Raw genomic sequence first — 8,929 nt, 5'->3', positions numbered from 1 at the left:
GATTAGTCAAAGGATCTTAAAAGTTTTAATGTTAGTTGTTTTCTCCAGTAAGAAAAATCTTAATGATCTTCTAAAATTAAAATGTCCTGGCAGTTTATAAATTAAGGATAACTGTGGTAAGTTGTCCCTGTCTAATTGCAAAAGTAAAATTGTTTAAGTTAATTTTAAAAGTAACTTTAAAAGTTTTAAAGTAAATTCCTGCCTTTTCTCAAGTTTCCCATATCAACAATACCCATCTTTATCCACAGATGGAAGCCCAGAACATAGCTTCAAGCTTGTTTCCATGAAAAGGTCATTCCAGGATTCTTGTTGCTTGCCACATAGCCTCTGTGATGAAGTACTGTTGTCGTTGCTTCCTGGGAACCACAGGTGGGAGGGCTTTTTGGCATTCTCTGTCACAGTCTAAGGACTCAGTTTCCCCAAATTGCATGCCTTGCTCTTCCAAATGGAAAAGTCCTCTCTTCACACTCATTATCAGAAGATTTCACACGAGGTGTTCAGATACCTCTCACTCACACATATTCCAAGTGATGAGACAAGGAACTATTTGCCAAAGGGAAAATATCGTGTGGTTTTCTGTTCTCATCGCCAAAAATAATTTCCAGAGGAGACTGTTTTTAATTTCTTGTTTTAATTTCCATTTGGGCATGACGAACAGTCTTCAAAAGCTATGTCATTGGAGATTCTAAACCCAAAGGGAGAAGGCTTGCCTGGGCAACCTTAATATGATTCGGATACCACCCGTATTTCATCTTCCAGCTCACTGCCCTTTTTACATGCATTTTCTCATGCTGGCTTCCACACCAACGCTGTGGGCAGACAAAGCCAGCAATTGCTATCGCTGTCTGTTGATGCATAGGATCTGAGATCTGATTCAGCTACGATGAAGAGTTAGCTGGTGGTACAGTTGGGACATAAACCGAAATCTTTGTACATGTCGCTTTGGTGTTCACCATTGCACGTCACAGGCTGCTTCCTTATCACCCTCCTTAGTTGCTATTCATCGTCAGCTGTCTTCAGCTCTTCATGGGTATGTGTATTCTCTGTCCAACTATTAGGTTGGTGCGAAAGTAATTGCCATTTTGCCATTGAAATAAAAATAGACTAAAATAAAATTTGAGTCTAAAGACAATAACTATGTCTAATATACCTGCTGTTCCCACAAAGCCTTAAATACTCAATAAATATTTGTTGGTTAGGCTTTTATTGTGCAAAGAATGAGAGTCATAAAGGTATTTTATTTGTATACCGTGAAATCTATATCAAACTGAATATTTAGATCCTTCTTTCATATAAAGGAAAAACATATCAGGACTGAAATTTTTTCAAATTTATTTTAAATGGAAAAATGTCAATTCAGGGCAGACTCATTTCCTATTCTATATCCATTGTGGGTTTAGATTATAATTTTGGATGACATCGAAAAGACTGGGGTGTTTTGCTGTTTTCCTTTGCTAAATGACATGATTTGGGTACAAGTAAAATTGTGTTTCTGTGGGTTTGCCTCCATATTTACTCGCTGCCTGAGTCCCATTTTCCAGTGTTTCATAGTCTGGAGAGGAAGTGTGGTCTAGTGGTCAGAAAAACAGTTTAGAAGGCTAGCATCATGGTTTCTATTCCTGTCTCACTCCCTGACTCATTGTAAGATCTTCAGGGAGTTAGTTAAGCATTTTGAGCCTCAGTTTATCCATTTTTTTCCTACCTAGAGATGTTGCTCAGAAATAATCAGATAATCAAACAGTGTAAAATAAAAAATGAGGTTGGCTATAAAAAGAAATAATGCTACATACATACAAAGCTTCATGTAATGAGTAGTAGGGGCTACAGAAGGAAAACAGGATCCTCTAATTAGTTTGCCAGCTGAAAGGAGTCGTCAAAGGCCCTTCTAGTAAGCACTGATTCCACTGGTTATGGGCACTAACTGGGATAGTACCTGGAAAACAATGTGTAATGGGAAGAAAATCAAGGAACTGGGAATCTAGGGAAGAGGAGTGTTGGGAATTGGGGGTCTTTCTCCTGACCTCCAAGGGAAAATGTAAGTGAGCAGAAACACTCAAATTTCGCTTGGAGTTCACACTCTTAGGCATAGCAATAGACCTTCATAGAAGATTCCATTTGATCAGGCTACAAATTCAAGATCAACTTGAAATCTTGGCTTCTCTTCACCCATCACTCTTTCCATGTTATCCATCCTCTAGAAGAAAAGCTACAGTGGATGTTATTTCTTGTTGAGTTAAAAAGGGAAGCATATGCAAAACAAAAATTAAAGCCGCTCCAGGGGCTGGGCACGAATTACAGGTGGCTCACACCTGTAATCCCAGCACTTTGGGAGGCCAAGGCGGGTGGATCACTTGAGGTCAGGAGTTCCAGACCAGCCTGGCCAACATGGCAAAACCCCATCTCTACTAAAAATACAAAAATTAGCTGGGTGTGGTGGTGCATGCCTGTAATCCCAGCTACTAGGGAGGCTGAGGCAGGAGAATCACTTGAACCCAGAAGATGAAGGATGGGCAACAGAGTGAGACTCCATCTCAAAAAAAAATAAAAAAGCCACTCCAATTACTCACACATAGAGAATCATTTTTATCATCATTATTTTTAATTGATACATAATTATACATATTTATGGGGTGCAGTGTGATATTTCAATACATGTATACAATGTGTAATGATCAAATCAGGGTAATTAGCATAACCATCACCTTAAACATTTATTATTTCTTTCTGTTGAGAACATTCAAAATCTGTTCTTCTTGCTATTTGAAAATGTACAATAAATAGCTATTTGAAAATGTACAATAAATTGTTGTTTATTATAGTCATCCCGTAATACTATAGGATACTAGAACTTATTCCTCCTGGAGGATCATTTTTATTTCATCACTTGGTCTATCAGCTGGTTGATTGACTGGCATTCTCAGCCACTGATAGCCACCCAGGAGAACAGAACAAAGGTGCTCTTCAAACCTCACTGTTGGCCATGTGATTCGTGTCATTGTGTTAGAGGTTGCTGTCACCTTCATGAGATAGAATCTGATGAATCAATAGTTCATTATAGTTCTGACACTAAAACTAATAATAGTAATTATAAGAATAACAAATATTTACTAAGTATACATTAATTGCCAGGTACGATACTCAGCATATTCTAGGTATGATCTCATTTAACTCTTTCTCAAATCCGATCATGTAAGAATTGTTATCCCCATTTTGCAAGCAAGGAGGCTTCAGCTCAGAAATCAAGTAACTATGTGAGGCCAACAGTGAGGAATGAAACCCAAAGTTTTCTGACTTTGAGGCTATGGTCTTGACCACTGACCTGTGCTGCCTCCCTCCCCCTGGAAGAGGTCAAAGAGGAACTTGCTCCAGGAGTTGTCAGGGGAGAAGCCATGAACTTGACATTCAATAAACCTTATATTTCAAGAAGTAGAGAAGCAGAGAGGACTGTTTCTATGGACTGTGGCATTGAGTTTCTTTTCCTGCTTAGAGGCAGCCAGTCAGCCAAGCTGGTCTCACTGCTTGAAGAGCAAATGAAAAGGTGGAGACAATTCTTATGTGCATGCCTGCTTGTTACATGCAACAAAGCACTCCAGGACAAAACAAAGAAAATAATTCAGAATATCCAAGATTCTAAGAAAACAGACTGATGAAAAAGAGAGAAAGACAAGAAGACATTCAGAGCTAGTTCACCTGTACAACAGATGTAGCCCATCCTGCTACTGTGAATTGAGACCTGTAAAAATCAGCCGTGAGCACACACCCCACATGAAACAACCAGGGAATCAGCATGTTGAAACAGAGATCAAAGAACCCAAGAGGAAAAGGACACATCAGGACAGATGGCACCCTCCAGCTCTACAAGGACTTCACGTAGCCAGGAGCATGCAGCTATTAAATATCAAAAAAACACAAAAAACAAAACAAAACAAAAACCTGAGAGCTGGAAGTGCTGGTCAGGAAATTAAAGAGCCAGGGGACGCAGGCATTTTTTTTTTCTCTATTTCCAATTTAGGATTCAGACTCTGAGACAGGACACAGAATGTAGAATGGAAGTTTTGATAGGATGATTGTTTAATTTATCACCCAAACCAGCACACTTTTGATAACAAAAGAGAAATGTATTAATTGTTAATTACTCCCAGAACAACAAGTAAAGTAAGACCATCCCAGGCAAACTAGAACATATGGTTATTCCAACCTTTGGGAAAACCTGTTAATACAAGAATAAAATTATAGAAGAAAAATCTAGATAAGGGTAAAAATATATATGTGTGTTCATGTATGCATAAACATAAATATGGATGTATAACACATATATGTGTGTGTGATATAGAGAGAGGAATAAAGGAAGTACTGTAGTGGGGGTATGCTGGAGAATTTGGTTAAAGCACTGGACATTGATTATAAAATTGGCACATTAGCAAGTTATGGAAAATAAGGAGAGGCTCCAATTACACCCAAATTCTGGAAATTTCCATCTGAAAATCAGGTCATCTGATAAGTGTCTAGATTTACTTGTTTGGCTTACAATTTCACTTCTCAGAAAATAAAGGAAGTGGCAAAGGAACTGCTACTTTGGGTGTATTTCTCCTTAATAATGAGGAACTTCCAGGAGATGTGAGATTTGACACATGCTCAGACTGACGCCAAGTTTCCAAGGAAAGAGAGATAGGATCACTCAGACTGAGATGGCTCAAGACAGAAGAGAAGCCCATGAGAATGAAAATCGGACAGCAAAGTCACAATCTATGCAAAGGCGAGGACATAACACTAAACACACCTATAGAAATAGAGCCAGAGATGCTAAAACCAAGATAATGTAAGGCTGAAGCGAAGGTCTAAACTTTCGAGATTTTCTTTGGAGCAAGATGGAAGACCTTCTGGGACATGTCCCCACCCCCCTCTTACAGAATCCCTGTTATGTTGAATGAGCACTGTAAGTGGAAGAATTGAGGATGGCAGAGGATAATAGAGCACAATTTCTGCTTTGCTTCCATGTTCTCTCCAAATAGAGGCTTTGCGTTGGTAACTGGGAAAAGTGATAATCCTGAAATGCTTTAAGCTAAACCAAACTATCAAGTTTAAACTGAGAAAAGAAAACGACAGACTGAATGTTGTCTGGAGGAAAGCAGAAGGGATGATAAAGGATTCCTCAACTGAGGCTATTTAAGCTGGAGAAGAAAAGCCTCTTCTCTTTGAGGGAGAAGATCCCTGCTTTCCAAAGTTGGGTGAGCCATTCTAAGGGAACAGAATTACTTTGTAGGCATCAGAGCACATAATTAAAAGGTCTGATTTTTCAGTTTATAAACATTCATGCATTCTGAGGGTTAGCATTGCCCCAAAGAGACATCAGGGCAGGGTCTAGTCCCCTTCCTGGCATGGTGCAAACAGGCTGAAAAAACCATTTAGTGGAGATGATGGTTGCTTCAAATCCTCTTCTAGAAGAAGATAGACTGTGGGCATGGACTAAGGAAAAGTGAAGAGACTTTTGAAGACATCAAAGCATTTATTAAGTGGCTTAAAATTGTCCTTTCAGCCCTCAACTTCTATACTCTTGACTTTAAATGGTCAGTCCACCTCAGTGGCTCACTCTGCCTGGCACAGGCCCTATCTTTCTTGCTTTATGGGAAGTAGAAAAGGATAGTGGTGACAGAGTGGACACTAGAGTCCATCTGCCTGATGGTGAGTCTCAGCCTTATACTCTCACTAGCTTTGTGACCTTGGAAAAGTTTCTTACCCTCTCCAAACTTCAGTATTCTCATCTCTATAAAGCACAGGAGATAATAGTAGTACCCACCTCCTAATGTTGCTATGAGAATTAAATGAGATAGTGTGTGTAAAACATGTCAATGCTTATTATGTAATAAGTACTCAATCAATTTTAACTATTAGTATTGGTTAAATCCAAAACCATATTTGGAGAGGGTCTATAACTGATCAATTTTACTTTTTATGCTTTGTCTGTAAGTTGAAAATCATTCTAAAGTGCAATCAGTTTACATTCCAAGATGTGCATTTATGCTATTATTGGTTTTGATTGTAAGTTTCTAGAGAACTGAAACCTCAAGCAACTTCTAAGTTTCTTGTTGGCATGGCAACAATAAGTCCATGATGACAGAGAAACGTTCCGCTCTCAGGGTTGATTGCTAAGCTCCTGGACTAGCTATTACAGTCAATTTTTGTGTGATTGTGCTAAGGGGATACTAAAGAATGGAACAGTAACCATCAATTTCTCAACTTGTTAACATCACACAGATTTAGTGAATTACTTCAACTACATCTTATTAAACGGACTATATATAGAAAAAGCTAAAGAAAATTATTAACCTAGATCCTAGACATTTTGACCCTTTTCAAACCTCAGGTTCCTTTTAAAAGCGTCTCTGATACATTGAATGAATACAGTAAATAGAATTATATAATGTTGGCTGGGTGTAGTGGCTCACTCCTGTAATCCCAGCACTTTGGGGGTCTGAGGCAGAAGGATTACTTGAGACCAGGAGTTTGAGGCCAGCCTGGACAACACAGTGAGACTCTATCTCTATTAAAAAATGAAATAATTAGCTGGATGTGGTGACATGCACCTGTAGCCTCAGCTACTTGGAAGACTGAAGCTGGAGGATGGCTTGAGCCCAGGAGTTGAAGGCTGCAGTGAGCCATGATCATGCCACTGCACTCCAGCCTGGGCGACAGACAGAGACCCTGTCTCTAAAACAAAAACAAAAATAAATAAATTAATTAATTAAATTAAAAAATAAAGAATTGCATAATGCTATACGGTAAGGAAAATGAAAGATAACCTTAAAAGCCATTTTAAGGGTATCAAATTGAGGAATGATGTCTCCTTGTTAAGATGTTTATGTGGAGACTTCCCAGAACTTTCCACATGCGTATATATCTGGCATTGCTGTGGTTATTCAAAGCTCATCTTTGCACATCTTATTATCTACAGGGGGACAAAAGGGAATGTGATGTTCCTATCAGATGGCTCACTACAGCGCCTGATTTTGGATAAAATGGGAATAGTTCAAAGAAAGAAGAGACCTGAAGGGAGATGCATCCATAATGGAGGCCACACAAGTTTAGTCCCATCTCAAGTATAAACAGAAAGACCTGGGGTAAAGAGATTTAAATTCCAGGTATTGTTTACTAATGCAACAATAACTAAGAGTGCAAATATTCATGCAGCAAAAATATTTGAAATGTGTTGTAAAGGTGTTTGACCTGTCATAACTTCATCATTCTATGGGTCATTGACTCCCTTCTGATTTAGCTGCCGTGCTGGATTTGATATTTGTGTTTATTTCTATATCCCCTGCTGCTATTTTCATATACAATATTTCTTTTATTTATGTATTTTTTTATGATGGAGTCTCGCTCTGTCGCCCAGGCTGGAGTGCAGTGGCACAATCTTGGCTCACTGCAACCTCTGCCTCCCAGGTTCAGGTGATTCTCCTGCCTCAGCCTGCTGAGTAGCTGGATTACAGGCATGTGCCACCATGCCTGGCTAATTTTTTATTTTTAGTAGAGAGTTTCACCATGTTGGCCAGGCTGGTCTCGAACTCATGACCTTAGGTGATCTGCCCACCTCGGTCTCCCAAAGTGCTGGGATTACAAACATGAGCCACCACATCCAGACCCAATTTTTCTTTGATAGACGTATTATTCTTCATCAATATCATTCCAATGAGAGAATTATTTAGTGGTGTTATGGAGTTGACTCTCACCGGCTTGCATCAGCTAAGGAAGGGCAATTGTATACATCTCTGGCACCAACACATTCACTGACATCATGTTGATAGCTTGATGACAGCCATAAAGGGAGTGTTTATAACAAGAAACCAGCAAAGGCTACAAATCAGTGGTTAAATATTTACAAGCACACCAATGATTTTATTTCCTGTCCGAGTGGTCTCAGGCATGGTCACATGACTAATTTGGGCCAATGATACGAGAACAAGTGGCATATGTCATTTCTGGTTAGTTTTAAAAGCTAGTGTGTGTTTCACCGTGATATTCCTCCTGTCATTGCTACTGGCAATCCTCCAGTTAGTACCTGTCCCATCAGGATGGGTCCTATAGTAATAACGGGATGGTGGTAGAACTTGAGACCCTAGGTCAATCCATGTAAACATATAACATGAGTGGAAGCATGAGTAGTTTTGTTGTTTCAAACCACTGAGGTGGCCAGGTGTGGTGGCTCATGCCTGTAATCCCAGCACTTTGGGAGGCCAAGGCAGGTGGATCACCTGAGGCCAGGAATTCAAGACCAGCCTGGCCAACGTGGTGAAACCCCGTCTCTACTAAAAATATAAAAAAAATTGCCGGGCGTGGTGGCACATGCCTGTAATCCCAGCTATTCGGGAGGCTGAGGCAAGAAAATCGCTTCAACCTGGGAGGTAGAGGTTGCAGTGAGCCGAGATCATGCTGCTGCACTCCAGCCTGGGCAACAGAGCAAGACTCTGCCTCAAAAAATAAAATAAAATAAAATAAAATAATAAAACCACTGAGGTTTTAGTGTTGTTTGTTACATAGCATCATTTTGCCTGTCCTTACTAATTATATCTACTCTATTTTCTTAAATAAGTTTTACTTCACCTTTCCAGATCTCATTTTTCTCATCTGCAAAATAACATTGTTGAGTGCTAATGCCCTGCCAACTTTAAAGTCTGTGAAAACTTTATTTGAATTAACACTGGGAATATGGAGAGACAATTCTAACAGGAAAAAAATATCCATAGCAGTAATGAGTCCCCATATCTAAGCCCAGCATGACAATGGGGAAGTCATTTAATCTTGAATTCCAGTTTTGTTTCCTCTATGAAATGAGAAAATCAGACCAGATAACTTCTAAGCCTCCTCCAAGCTGTAAAATTATTTTATTTTATTTTGTTAAAAGACTTCAAGTGAAACAAACACAGTGAGAGGT

The 8,929-nt window shown here is 39.3% G+C and overlaps 2 annotated features.

Annotated features, from left to right (window-relative positions):
• Positions 6,161 to 6,210: an enhancer, noted in NCBI's record as "active region_22420". NCBI's record gives its function as "activates an Ori minimal core promoter by ATAC-STARR-seq in GM12878 lymphoblastoid cells {active_cell/tissue: GM12878}" and the evidence as "EXISTENCE:reporter gene assay evidence [ECO:0000049][PMID:35858748]".
• Positions 6,514 to 6,694: a silencer, noted in NCBI's record as "fragment chr5:14996706-14996886 (GRCh37/hg19 assembly coordinates)". NCBI's record gives its function as "represses an EF-1alpha promoter that drives an FKBP-Casp9 reporter gene in an ReSE screen in HepG2 liver carcinoma cells {active_cell/tissue: HepG2}" and the evidence as "EXISTENCE:reporter gene assay evidence [ECO:0000049][PMID:32094911]".

Source organism: Homo sapiens, chromosome 5 (assembly GCF_000001405.40).
Source record: "Homo sapiens chromosome 5, GRCh38.p14 Primary Assembly".
NCBI lineage: Eukaryota > Metazoa > Chordata > Mammalia > Primates > Hominidae > Homo > Homo sapiens.
Note: the sequence above shows the minus strand (reverse complement) of the source record. Positions and strands in the feature narration are given on the sequence as shown.